Source organism: Homo sapiens, chromosome 18 (assembly GCF_000001405.40).
Source record: "Homo sapiens chromosome 18, GRCh38.p14 Primary Assembly".
Taxonomy (NCBI): Eukaryota; Metazoa; Chordata; class Mammalia; order Primates; family Hominidae; genus Homo; species Homo sapiens.
In genome coordinates, this window is record NC_000018.10 from 42203070 (window position 1) to 42217785 (window position 14716).

At 40.3% G+C, this 14716-nt stretch overlaps 1 long non-coding RNA gene across 5 annotated transcripts in view; it reads left to right on the top strand.

The window, feature by feature from the left end:
• The window catches only part of LINC00907 (long intergenic non-protein coding RNA 907), a 504759-nt gene that overhangs the window by 16402 nt on the left and 473641 nt on the right, over positions 1–14716 (top strand). For all 5 annotated transcript variants that reach the window (NR_046174.2, NR_046454.1, NR_046457.1 and 2 more), the window contains exon 2: positions 9295–9457. This is a non-coding gene — a long non-coding RNA (long intergenic non-protein coding RNA 907). The remainder of the gene's footprint in view (positions 1–9294; positions 9458–14716) is intronic.

Here is a 14716-nt window from a genome sequence, read left to right on the forward strand (position 1 = left end):
GATTACAGTCATGCACCACCACGCCTGGCTAATTTTTGTATTTTTAGTAGAGACAGAGTATCGCCATATTGGCCAGACTGGTCTTGAACTCCTGACCTCGCCTCAGGTGATCGCCTGCCTTGGCCCCCCAAAGTGCTGGGATTACAGGCATGAGTTACCATGCTGACCTTACTTTCTTTTTAAATAGGAGATTGTTAGAACAGGCCTTGCACCAGGGGACAAATAGACTGCCTCAGCCCCAAGCACTTGGACCTCACATGTCAGCTCTTAGCACCTGCTGATCTTGTGGGAAACTGGGTTTGTGCACAGCCTGTCCTGCTTGGAAAGAGTGCCTGGACACAGTTTAGTTTTATTAGGTGCCCAGGGAAAGTTTCCAAGGTGGGGTTGAGGATGTTCATTGGATAACAGGCTTGTAGGTACACAGGACTCAAATGAGATAAGGCACTTAGAGCCATTATGAAATAAAAGTTGCTAGACAAGGTCAAGGTCTGAGTGATTCCCAACATGAGCACTTCTCTAGTAACAAGGGTATGGGAATGGTAGTTTCTAAAGTCTTTTCTAAATTAACCAGTGATATGGTTTGGCTGTGTCCTCACCCAAATCTCATCTTGAATTTTAGCTCCCATAAGTCCCATGTGTTGTGGGAGGGACCAGGTGGGAGATAACTGAATCATGGGAGTGGGTTCCCCCACACTGTTCTTATGGTAATGAATAAGTCTCATGAAATCTGATGGTTTTATAAGGGGAAACTCCTTCCCCTTGGTTCTCATTTCTCTCTTATCTGCCACCTTGTAAGACGTGCCTTTCACCTTCAGCCATGATTGTGAAGCCTCCCCAGCCATGTGGAATTGTGAGTCCATTAAACCTCTTTTTCTTTATAAATTATCCAGACTTGTATATGTCTTTATCAGCAATGTGAGAATAGATTAATACAGTAAGTTGGTACTAGTAGGGTGGGGTGCTGCTGTAAAAATATTAAAAAATGTGGAAGCAGCTTTGGAACTGGGTAACAGGTAGAGGTTGGAACAGTTTGGAGGACTCAGAAGAAGACAGGAAAATGTGGGAAAGTTTGGAACTCACTAGAGACTTGCTGAATGGCTTTGACCAAAATTCTGATAATGATATGGACAATGAAATCCAAGCTGAGGTGGTTTCAGATGGAGATGAGGAACTTCTTGGGAGCTGGAGTAAAGGTGACTCTTGCTATATTTTAGCAAAGAGACTGGTGGCATTTTGCCCCTGCCCTAGAGATTTGTCGAACTTTGCACTTGAGGGAGATGATTTAGGGTATCTGGCAGAAGAAATTTCTAAGCAGCAAAACATTCAAGAGGTGACATATACGCTGTTAAAAGCATTCAGTTTCAAAAGGGAAACAGGGCATAAAAGTTCAGAAAATTTGCAGCCTGACAATGCCATAGAAAAGAAAAGCCCATTTTCTGAGGAGAAATTCAAGCCAGCTGCAGAAATCTGTATAAGCAAGGAGAAGCCAGATGTTACTCAACAAGACAATGGGGAAAATGTCTCCAGAACATGTCAGAGACCTTTGTGACAGCCCCTCCCACCACAGGTTGAGAGGCCTAGGGAAAAAAAATGGTTTTGTGGGCTGGGCCAAGGGCCCCCCTGCTGTGTGCAGCCTAGGGACTTGGTTCCCTGCATCCCAGCTGCTCTAGCCATGGCTAAAAGGGGCCAAGGTACAGCTTGGGTCATGGCTTCAGAGGGTGCAAGCCCCAAGCCTTGGCAGCTTCCACATGGTGTTGAGCCTGTGAGTGTACAGAAGTCAAGAATTGAAGTTTGGAAACCTCTGACGAGATTTCAGAGGATGTATTGAAATGCCTGAATGTCCAGGCAGAAGTTTGCTGCAGGGGCGATGCCCTCATAGAGAACCTCTGCTGGGGCAGTGCAGAAGGGAAATGTGGGGTTGAAGCCCCCACACAGAGTCACCACTGGGGCACTGCCTACTGGAGCTGTGAGAAGAGGGCCACCGCCCTCCAGACTTCAGAATGATGGATCCACTGACAGCTTGCAGTGTGCATCTGGAAAAGCCACAGACACTCAACACCAGCCCAAGAAAGAGGCTGTACCCTGCAAATCCACAGGGGTGGAGCTGCCCATGACCATGGGAACCCACCTCTTGCATCAGCGTAACCTGGCTGTGAGACAGGGTGTCAAAGGAGATCATTTTGGAGATTTAAGATTTGACTGCCCTGCTGGATTTTGGACTTATATGTGGCCTGTATCCCCTTTGGCCAATTTCTCCCATTTAGAATGGCTGTATTTACCCAATTCCTGTAACCCCATTATATCTAGGAAGTGACAACTTGCCGTTGATTTACAGGTTCATTGGTGGAAGAAACTTGCCTTGTCTCACATGAGACTTTGGACTGTGGACTTTAGAGTTAATGCTGAAATGAGCTAAGACTTTGGGAGACTTTTGGGAAGGCATGATTCATTTTGAAATGTGAGAATGTGGGATTTGGGAGGGGCCAGGATGATACTGTTTGGCTGTGTCCCCACCCAAATATCATCTTGAATTGTGGCTCCCATAATTTCATGTGTTGTGAGAGGGACCAGGTGGGAGGTAATTGAATCATGGGAGTAGGTTACCCCATACCATTATCATGGTAGTGAATAAGCTTCACAAGATCTAATGGTTTTATAAAGTATTTCCCCTTTATCTTGGTTCTCATTTCTCTCTTGCCTGCCACCATGTAAGAGGTGGCTTTTGCCTTCCACCATGATTGTGAGGCCTCCCCAGCCACGTGGAACTGTGAGTACATTACACCTTTTCTTCTTCATAAAAAAAAGACTTTACCCAGTCTCAAGTATGACTTGATACATACTTATAAATTACCCAGTCTCAAGTATGTCTCAAGACATACTTATACCCAGACATACTTAAAAATTAGACAGTCTCTAGTATGTCTTGAGACATAAATTACCCACTATCGAGTATCAGCAGCATGAGAACAGACTAATACAACCAGTGAGTATATAAAGCCTTTTGGTTTTGAGAGAGAGAACAGTCACCTTAGAGATAGCAAGGTCAGAAGTCTAATAAATCACATTTTAATTAAAGAAAAAGCAAATATTACCTATTCCAATTGTATCAGTATGTTAGATAATTGCATGATTTTTTAAAAAATTAAATTAAATTTTATTATTATTATACTTTAAGTTTTAGGGTACATGTGTACAATGTGCAGGTTTGTTACCTATGTATACATGTGCCATGTTGGTGTGCTGCACCCCATTAACTTGTCATTTAGCATTAGGTATATCTCCTAATGCTATCCCTCCCCCTTCTCCCCACCCTGCAACAGTCCCCGGTGTGTGATGTTCGCCTTCCTGTGTCCATGTATTCTCATTGTTCAATTCCCACCTATGAGTGAGAACATGCAGTGTTTGGTTTTTTATCCTTGCAATAGTTTGCTGAGAATGATGGTTTCCAGCTTCATCCATGTCCCTACAAAGGACATGAACTCATCATTTTTTATGGCTGCATAGTATCCCATGGTGTATATGTGCCACATTTTCTTAATCCAGTCTATCGTTGTTGGACATTTGGGTTGGTTCCAAGTCTTTGCTATTGTGAATAACACTGCAATAAACATACGTGTGCAGGTGTCTTTATAGCAGCATGATTTATAATCCTTTGGGTATATACCCAGTAATGGGATGGCTGGGTCAAATGGTATTTTTAGTTCTAGATCCCTGAGGAATCGCCACACTGACTTCCACAATGGTTGAACTAGTTTACAGTCCCACCAACAGTGTAAAAGTATTCCTATTTCTCCACATCCTCTCCAGCACCTGTTGTTTCCTGACTTTTTAATGATCGCCATTCTAACTGGTGTGAGATGGTATCTCATTGTGGTTTTGATTTGCATTTCTCTGATGGCCAGTGATGATGAGCATTTTTTCATGTGTTTTTTGGCTGTATAAATGTCTTCTTTTGAGAAGTGTCTGTTCATATCCTTTGCCCAGTTTTTGATGGGGTTGTTTGTTTTTTTCTTGTAAATGTGTTTGAGTTCATTGTAGATTCTGGATATTAGCCCTTTGTCAGATGAGCATGATTGTTTTTAAAGATTGAAAACTTGAGTTTTAACACGGCAATAATTACTCCTCCTAACTTAATACTTTTTCATTTCAATTATTACTCAACTGCTGTGGTGTGACACTTATTCTCTTCTTTATTTTTATACTCATATTTCTTTTCTATGAATAGAATGAGGTTAGAATCAGTAGACTAAAACTTTAAAATAAAACTGTTTTCTTCTGAAGCGTTTTACTTGAAAGACAATTAGTTTTGTTTCTAAGTTTCAAAGGTAACATTTCTATTGAAGTTTAATATTAATGCAGAAAAGTACACAAATGTGTGCATTTCCAATTTCCACAAAATGAACACACAGATGTAATTAGCAACAGATAAAGAAATCAAAGTTAACTAGTTCCCAATAAAGGTCACCACCATCCTCTAGCACCCTGGATTTGTTCTGCCTGTTTGTGAAATTTATGTAATGGGATAGTGCAATATGTACTCTTTGGTGTTTGGTTTCAAAAGGTGTTTTATAAGGAAATCTCCATATGTACTGAGAATGTACTTGACTATTTCTTTTCCCAATAAAGTTCTTTTGCAATTGTGTAAGCCATGCATGATGATTACAGTAAACTTAAAACATACAGAACAGTAGAGAAAAACAACAAGGATTTATAATCCTATCACTCAAAGACAACCATTTGGGCATATTGCCTTCTAGTATTTTATTTATACATTCATTAACTGATAAGTGTATGCATCAAATATTTATGGAACATCTACAACATGTAGACATTGTGCTAGGCACAAGAAAAACACAGGCAAACATAATAGTTTTTACATAGTTATAATGAAACTCTTTGTAAACTCTTATATCGTGCCTTTTTCTTAACCTCATATTACAGGTCCCATGCATTTTCATGCTGGCTGTTTAAAACAAAGGCAAGAGGGAGGAGATCTCACAGTTTGGGGTAGCTCTCAGGTCTTCAATATGTTATATTTGGATCTCATCATCTTTCAGAAAGAACAGAAGATTTCTTGAGACCCTCCTGAGGCAGGGAGTGGAAGGAGATGTGATGGAAGGGAATAAGGGACAGGTTCCAGTGACAGAGTGACAGCTTCTTGCACCATCATGGTGGGCAAAAAGAAAGGGGTTGGTCTGGTGACTGAGAAATAAGTGAATACAAACTTAGGGGCTTTAAAGTTAGGGGAAATCCGGGATTGGGAAATCTGGAAATTAGGGTAACAACTAGGGAGCAGCTAAGTAGTGAAAAACAGTGAGTCAAAGAAGGTAGTCAACTATTCTTGGAAGTAGATGCAAGGAGAGTGAGTATTCATAAGGGCAGGAAAAGTAAGAAACAACGGAAGAAAATTTAAGTGGCATGGTCTGAATGTGTCCCCTTAAAATTTGTATGTGAAAACCAATCCCTAATAGGAGGTGATTAGGACATGAGGGCAAAGCCCTCATCAATGGGAGTAATGCTCTTATTAAAAAGACCCAAAAAGCTTGTTTGCCCCTTCTGCCATGTGAAGACAGCAAGAAGGCAGCACCGGTGAGGGACATGGCCCTTCTCAGACACTGAATCATCTGGCACCTTGATCTTGGACTTCCCAGCCTCAAGAACTGTGAGCAATAAATTTATGTTGTTTATAAATTACCCATTCTAAGGTATTTTGTTATAGTAGTCCGAATAGACTTAGACAGTTAGAAAAGTGAGGTGGGTGAGGTGGCCCTGAATCAGAAGCTTTCTAACTGGATGTGAAGGTCATGGGAGGAGCCTGCTGCTTAAAGGATAGGTTATAAGCTTCAGATGTACCAATTCAGCCCACTTCAGGAAAAAAAGGAGAGCCAATATTACAGGGAGGTTTTTCTGGTCTCATCCCATTAGGTCATAAGGGGTGAGGAGGAGAAAGGGAAAGAAACTAGTGATAAACTCACCTGAGGTTTTCAGGCCTAAAGGAGAGAATTACAGAGCCCATTGCTTTGATGTGAAAATTGTCACATTTATTTACACACACATTATCTTGTGACTCTATCAATCCAGGTAAAAATAGAACTTTTGAGGCTAGTTAAAACTTTAAATGATACTTTTAACAATTTAGTCCAAGAAACATTTATAATAACTATCATTTTTATTGGTTAAAATATATTGAAGACTTTGCAGTGTTCCTAATGAACCTTATTCTCATGAATCTTTACAAAGACCATATGACATATGTAAGTCTATTCCCATTTTAGAGATGAGGAAACAGTTTCAATATGGTTTAGCACTTTGTCCAACAGACTCAGCAAATACATGGCAGAGGGAATCTATATGCCATCTGACCTTTCTACTAAGTATTATGAAAAAAAGAGCTTCTTTCTTCAAGGAGATCGAGAGACTCCTCCATAGGCAATCACCCTTGCCTACATAAGGGGAGGTGACAGCGGGTAGCCTTCCCTCACTCCCTGACTCATGGGGTGGCCCATATTCACAAGGGCTTATGTGTAACTAGGACCCCCAGGCTCAGTGGGCAGCTGCAGAATACTTGTTCCTTTGTGTTTTTTTTTTTTTTTTTCTAAAGGGATAGCCAGGGTAGTAGATGCTGTAGATGTGTAGCAAAATTCTAGGAAGGCAAGGATTTTATAGTTGGAATAAAAACAAATGCCTCTTCCCCAGTATAACTGCCAGGTACTTGCATGTGCTTTGCAAGGATCTTCAAAGAGAGGTTTTGTCAGGCTCCAGGCAGCCTACCTGGCCTGTCAAGTTCAAAACCTGATTCCCTCTGCTCAGTTGAGTTTACCTTTTAATCTGGTGAGAAGTTATCACTTTAAAAATGTCTTCATGGGCATGATAAATATTTTAAAACATTTAGAAAGGCAGGTGGACTTTAAAGCTTTCTGTTCTTCCTTGGGTGATTTTGCAAGCTCCTGTTGTATCTTCTCTTCCACAAACCCCAGGAAAAGCATGAGAATATTTGTATGGCATTCTGGGATATGCTGAGGGGATTTAGGAAATTCTTACAGGACTTGGCTAAAATGGTCGTTACCTTTTCTTTATATTATGTAAGAACAGTAAATACAAAAAATGAAAGAACATAGTAAGTATTAAATATTTACAAAATTTCAGATGAATTTCTATTTATTTTATTATGAAAACTAGGATTTCTTCCATGAATATACCTTTTTAATGTGAAGGTTAGTGCTTGAAATGATTACATACAATTTCTGAAAAGAGTTTTTAATGATGTCTTCAAATGCTTCATTGTCTTTGTAGACAAAGAAGTTTTATTTCACAATGGTTTTACAAAAAACTTAAAACGTTTTTTGTGATTATTTTACAATTTACAACAGTTGACATTACGTTGAAGGATCTAACAGCCCTTCCTTTTCTTTCATGGACTAAAATTTCCTGTGATAATGTGAAAAGATTCAAATCTAATTGGACTTTTTCTATCAAGTATTTAGAAATAATGATGGAGTTCTAATTTGTAGAATGTGCATGCATTGTTAGAGCTGTCACGCTGCAGATAGTTTGGATTCTATTAAAAGGGCACATTGGCTGCAAATTGATAGAAGTTTTGACATCTATGAAGGCAGGGAGTCAGGGTGCTGCCTGGCACTTAGCATACTAGGCACTTGTGCCTGGCCCCTCGTCTCCCCTCACGCCCCCACCACCACTCCCAACTGGCCACATCTTGGCCTGGATAGCACTCCTTGACCATTCACAACATGACATTTTCTAGAAGTGTTGTTGGCTGTTTCCTCCATTTCCACAGCAAGGCTGTGCGTTGCAGCTGGCTTCTGAGGTGTAATGCCAAGTAGTACAGCACCTCCCTGTCTGCATCCAGCCTAACTGGGCACACAGCAACAATGACAGACATCACTCATCTTGTCAGTGGCCTGGAGGTATGTAGAACCTCAGACCCTGCTTCTCTCCAAAACGCTCCAAGGAGCCTGGAAGCGGCAGATTGGGGTTGCAACTGACCTGGCTTTGGCTACCCTAGACCCCATCTGGCTGCCCCAGGGCCAAAGGCATCAATATCTCCTGGAACCTGTTGCAGCATTCATGTTTTGGAAAGCTCTCATTTACAGGGACAAATTTCTTGTTTTCCCTGAATCCTTAGGAAATTGAAGGGTATATGTGTGTCTGTGTTTGTGTTTGTGTGTGTGTGTGCACGCGCGTGTGTGTGCATGCTAGTCCTGTTATTTTGCTTACCATCTTACTCAATATTCTTGCAAACAGCCTATCTGGCAATATAAGAGGCAGCAAAGTGTAATTCCTCAGAAGATAGATTCTGGAGCCAGGCTGGCAGGTTTCAATTTTAGCTCAGCCAGTTGCTGGCTTCCTGTCCTGTGTTCCTCTCCTAATCTATATAAAATAGAGCTAATAATAGTGCTGTTTTTCTAGAGCTGTTAATTAATTAAATTAACTCATGCATGTTAATTTCTTGCAGTAATGCCTAGAATAGAGTAAGTGTCCAATAGTAGTCGATGATATTATCATCGACTACTATTGTCGGTGATAATGTTATTGGTGTTGTTAAAAAGTTGACTGTTATTCCAGTAGAGAGTTCTTTGTTTTTACCAGACAATAGTCATTGCTTTGGGTTTCTAATATTTTCCATTAACATTGCACTCTTTGTAACCAGAATGGATATTATCTATTCATTTTAACCACTTGCAACAAGACAACAAGCCAGGAGTAGGGGTAGGGTTTGAGGCATGGAATAGTATCAAGCTACTTACCTCAAGGAAGACTGAATCCTACATTCAGTGTCACTGAGTTGGCTAGAGTAACCTGTAAGCTAATGCAAAAACTCATCTTAAACAATGACATAAGTTTTAAAAACTATATTATGCTCCTTGGTACCCAGAATAATCTTGATTTTTAACATTCTTTGAACCTTGGACTCAAAGACTAGCCACAATAATCAGGAGACCACTTAAAATTTTAGTCTTAACTGAAGACATAAGTTGGCTTCACAATTGAAATGGAAAGTCTACAGAGGGAACAGACTTATGTCTTTCGCCTGTTACAGGTTTTGTCACAGAAAAGTGGATTAATATAGTAACACTTCATTGTAAATGGACATTAATGAATGCTTAATTACCACCAAATTCCTATGGAACTGCACATAATGGCTACTTTCACATTCAAAGAGTTTTTCATGATTAATGTTATTGTAATGAATACCAAAGAAATTAATAACCATTTGTCACTTTAAGAAGTATTGCCGATTAATTTTATGCTATTTTTTATTCTCATTTGTTGTAGGAGTGAGGACCTAGAATTTTAATGTCTAATATGCGGTGTGAATTAAAGAAGCGGCCTTGCTATGCTGACCTTTTCAATATTCTAATCTTTGCTTTGCTGACCTCTCAGGCCTCTTCCTGGCAACAGTTAGGCTTTTGAGAGGAGAGAGAGCTGAGACTGTTGGGTAAGTGAACAGAGTGAGGAAATCTTTTAAGACACACTTTCATAATTCACTGACTGTATTGGAAATTCAAATTTTCAGACTATTCATTATCTTGACAAACATTGTAATGTGTGCAGAATATGGCACCACATAAATCCATTCTAGTGACAAAGAGTGTAGTGAGAATGGGAAATAGTAGAAACCCAAAAGCAATCACTTTACAATCTGGAAACTGGTTAGAGTTAAACTCCCATCAGGTTTCACAGCAGTTCTTTTTTGGCCCTCATAACAATTGCTTTTTACAGAAAGCACAACATGGTACCACCACAGCCAAGTACTCATAATGGGAGATTGTCTATTTGTGCTTTTTAGACTTTTTGATGCAGGCATTTCAGGCTATGAACTTTCCTCTTAGCACCACCTTTGCTGTATCCCAGAAGTTTTGATAGATTGTGTCACTATTATTGTTCAGTTCAAATAATTTTTAAATTCCATGTTGATTTCATTGTGGGCCCAATAATCATTCAGGAGCAGGTTATTTATTTTCCATGTATTTACGTGGTTTTGAGTGATGCTTTTTGGAGTTGATTTCCAACTTTATTCTACTGTGATCAAGAAAGTACTTGATATAATTTAAATTTTTAAAAAATTTATTGAGACTTGTTTTGTGGCCTATCATATGGTCTATCTTGGAAAATGTTCCATGTGCTGATGAATAGAATGTATATTCTGCAGTTGTTGGGTACAATATTCTGTTAAGTCCATTTGTTCTAGGGTATACTTTAAATCCATTGTTTCTTTATTGACCTTCTGCCTTGATGACCTATCTATTGCTGTCAGTGGAGAGTTGAAGTCCCCCACTGTTATTGTGTTGTTGTCCATCTTATTTCTTAGGTCTAGTAGTAGTTGTTTAATAAATTTGGGAGCTCCAGTGTTAGGTGCATATATATTTAGGATTGTGATATTTTCCTGTTGGACAAGTCCTTTTATCATTACATGATGTTTTTCTTTGTCTTTTTTAACTATTGTTGCTTTAAAGTTTGTTTTGTCTTGTATAAGAAGAGCTATTCCTCCTCACTTTTGGTGTCCATTTGCATGTTATATCCTTTTTCACCCCTTTACCTTAAGTTTATGTGAGTCTTAATGTGCTAGGTGAGTCTCTTGAATATAGCAGACACTTGGTTGGTGAATTCTTATCCATTCTGCCATTCTGTATCTTTTAAGTGGAGCATTTAAGCCCTTTACATTCCTTGTTAATATTGGGATGTGAGAGACTATTCTATTCATTATGCTATTTGTTGCCTGAATACCTTGTTGTTGTTTTTAATTTATTGTGTTTTTGTTTCATAGGTCCTGTGACATCTATGCTTTCAGGAGGTTCTATTTTGGTGTATTTTGAGGATTTGTTTCAAGATTTAGAGCTCCGTTTAGGAGTTCTTGTAGTGCTAGCTTGGTAGTGTCAAATTCTCTCAGCATTTGTTTGTCTGAAAAAGACTGTATCTTCCCTTCATTTATGAAGTGTAGTTTCACAGGATACAAAATTCTTGGCTGATCATTGTTTTGTTTAAGGAGGCTGAAGATAGGGCCCCAGTCCCTTCTAGCTTGTAGGGTTTCTGCTGAGAAATCTGCTGTTAATCTGATAGGTTTTCCTTTATAGGTTACCTGGTGCTTTTGCTTCACAGCTCTTAAGATTCTTTCCTTCATCTTGACTTTATATAACCTGATGACTATCTTCCTAAGCGATGATCCTTTTGCAATAAATTTCCCAGGTGTTCTTTGAGACTCTTGTATTTGGATGTTTACGTCCCTAGCAAGGTAAGGGATGTTCTTCTCGATTAGTCCTCAAATAAAGTTTTGTTTATTATACTAGTTTTGTGCTGATTGGCCTCCTGCCAGGAGGTGGCACTTACAAGTTTTCCAGACTTCTAGGTTTCTCTTCTTTCTCAGCAACACCAGTTATCCTTAGGTTTGGTCATTTAATAAAATCCCAAACTTCTTGGAGGCTTTGTACATTTTTTTGGATTCTTTTTGTCTGTATTGGATGGGGTTAGTTTGAAAACTTTGTCTTTGAGCTCTGAAGTTCTTTCTTCTGCTTGTATAATTTTATTGCTGGGACTTTCCAGTACATTTTGCATTTCTCTAAGTGTGTTCTTTATTTCTAGAAGTTGTGATTGTTTTTTCTTCATGCTATCTATGTCACTGAAGATTTTCCCTTCATATCTTGTATCATTTTTTTGATATCATTAAGTTGTACGTCACCTTTCTCTGATGCCTCCTTGATTAGTTTAATAACCGACCTTCTGAATTCTTTTTCTGGCAATTCAGGGATTTCTTCTTGGTTGGGATCCATTGTTGGTGAGCTAGTGTGATTTTTTAGGGGGTGTTAAGGAACTTTGTTCTGTTATATTATCAGAATTATTTTTCTGATTCCTTCTCATTTGGGTAGACTATGTCAGAGGGAAGATCTGGAGCTCAAGGGCTGCAGTTCAGATTATTTTGTCACACAATGTGCTCCCTTGATGTAGTGCTCTCCCTTTTTCCCTAGGGATGTGGCTTCCTGAGAGCCAAACGTCAGAGATTGTCATTTCTCTTCTGGACATAGCCACCAAGTGGAGCTACTGGGCTCCAGACTAGTACTGGGAGGTATCTGCACAGAGTCCTGTGATGTGAACCACCTTCAGGTCTCTCAGGCATGGATAGCAGTACCTCCTCTGGTGGAGGTGGCAGGGGAGTGAAATGAACCCTGTGAGGATCCTTAGTTGTATTAATAGTTTTGTTTATTGCACTAGTCTTGTGCTGTTTGGCCTCCTGCCAGGAGATGGCACTTATAAGACAGTATCAGCTGTGGTGGTATAAGGAGAATCAAGTGGTAGATGGGTCCCTAGAGCTCCCAAGAGAATATATCCTGTCTTCAGCAACCAGGGTGGGTGAAAAAAGACCATCAGGTGGCCGGCAGGGTTAGGCATCACTGAACTCAGACCCTCTTTGGGTGGAACTTGCTGCAGCTGCTGTTGGAGATGGTGGTGTCATTCCCAGGCCAATGGAGTTATGTTCTCAGGGGGATTACGGCTGCCTCTGCTCTGTCATGCAGGTCTCCAGGGAAGTGGGGGAAAGCTGGCAATTACAGGCCTCACCCAGTTCCCACGCAGCCCCAGAGGCCAGTCTCACTTCCACCATGTGCCCCCTCAACAGCACCAAGTTTGTTTCCAGGCAGCAAGTGAGCAGGGCTGAGAACTTGCCCCAGGCTGCCAGCCTCCTGGCTGTGAAAGTAAGCAGGGCTTTTCAGGTTCAGCACCTCCCTACCTGCCATGGCTTCAGTGCTGTGTCTGCACTCCAGATTCACCTCTTTCCCTAAGTTCTGTATGGGAAACTTCACACGTGGTCAAAATTGTTACAAAGTTCAGCTGGAAGTTTTCTTCTCCCGGTAGTCTTTTCCATTTATCTGGCAGCCCTTCCCAGGGACCTCTGTGACAGAAAGTCAGAAATGGCTTCCCTAGGATCTGAGAAAGACCACACAGCTCATCCTGCTGCTGCTTCTATCCCTGTATTTCGCTCGGATATCCAAAATTGTCTCAGCTCCAGGAAAGATCAAATTCTTCTCCTGTGATTCGGACCTTCAGGTTCCTCAGTGAAGGGTGTGTGTTTGGGGTGGACGATCCCTCTTTCACACTTTTACACTTCAGGTGCTCACAGTTTTTGGACTGTCTCCCAGGGCCTTCAGAAGCAATCTGCTTCCTTCAAAGGGTCTGTGGATTTACTCGGCTTTCCTGGTATGTTCCTGTGATAGTTCTTGGAGAGAAAGTTCACAATGTGAGTCTCCATATGCTGCTCTGTCCATCCAAGTGGGAGCTGCAATTTAGTCCTGCCTCCTATCTGCCATTTTCCTAACCTCCTGTTGTGGCTAATTTATTCTTGATTCCATTGCACAAGTCCTTGGATGTCTGAGGAGAGAGGCTAACTGACATATACTGGTAAAGGCATCTTCTCCACTTGGTTATTTGAACCTCTTTTGCAAATGATGATTTATTTGGGGCATTAAATTCAACATCAAAATTCTCACACTTTGTATCCACTACCCTAAGTCTAACATTTGCCTCTTTCCAAGATATTCTTGTACTAGCTTTCCAATGTTGTAACCTAAAGGCCTCTGAGCAGGTAGGCAAGTCATCTGCCACCTCACATAGTACACGTATCATCTTCCCATTCTACCCAAAGTGTACCTCACATAGTACACGGATCATTTCACATTCTACCCAAAGTGAATGGCAAGTTTCTTCACCCAAATCTCTGCCATTGAGAGGACTTCTAATCTTTTTCTTGCAAAACCACTCCTGAGTGGGGCTGTCATGAAGCAGCAGTCTATTTTTGGTTTCTACCTATATTTCAAGCTGATTCATCCATGAACCAAGGTTGAACGTCTTTCTTTTCCATTAAATGGTCATAGTGAATGTCTCATAAGACCATAGGTATGAGCCCCATGGATTTGCTCAAACCTAACTTCTGATGTAGCATTTCCACTTTTTGATTTATTGTTACTGGACTTGCCCAATCTCATGATTTGATGCATCTAATAGTTTGGAGTATACAGTGGGCAGTTATGATCTTAGGGCCCCTTGATTTTTTTTTTTGTCTTAGGAAGTATCACTAGTCACATTTTTTTCTTCCCCAGAATACAATACTGTTTTGAAGAAATTACTATCTTCACTGAAGGGACAAATTTTAGATGCTTTCCATTTGACTTTTCCTACATATTAGCTTTTACTTTTCAGGTCAAGGAGACAATATGAGTTTTCTTAACTGCAATGTATGTCCCTTCTGGTTATATGGTTTTTAACTAAGAAACAACTACCAGGTGGGCTTATGGAGTTATCAAACCCATTGTGAGATAGCTCTGGGCCAATACTGCATTTATTACTGGAGACCTATACTCTAACAGGGTACCATAAGGACTTCTGTGGATAGCTGGTTCTCGGCATTAACTTCATATCCTATATACAACTGTCTTGGAAATAATCTAGTTATTCATCTTTCTCCAGGGCATGTTTATCGAAGTAAAGAGCAATAAATCCCATTTCAAAAAGTCTGTGAAGAACACTATTGTGCCTACTTTCTGTGGTGTTACAGAATCCTTCTTTATCAAGACCTGGCCTCTTCTTCAGTTGGTGGATTCTGAGTCTGAGAATTGACTTAGGTCTGGAAACTGGCCAAATCCATTAAGTGGATAATCTCAGCTCTGTTCATCCATTGTTTATCTTTTCTCATCATGATTTGTTGAGCAAT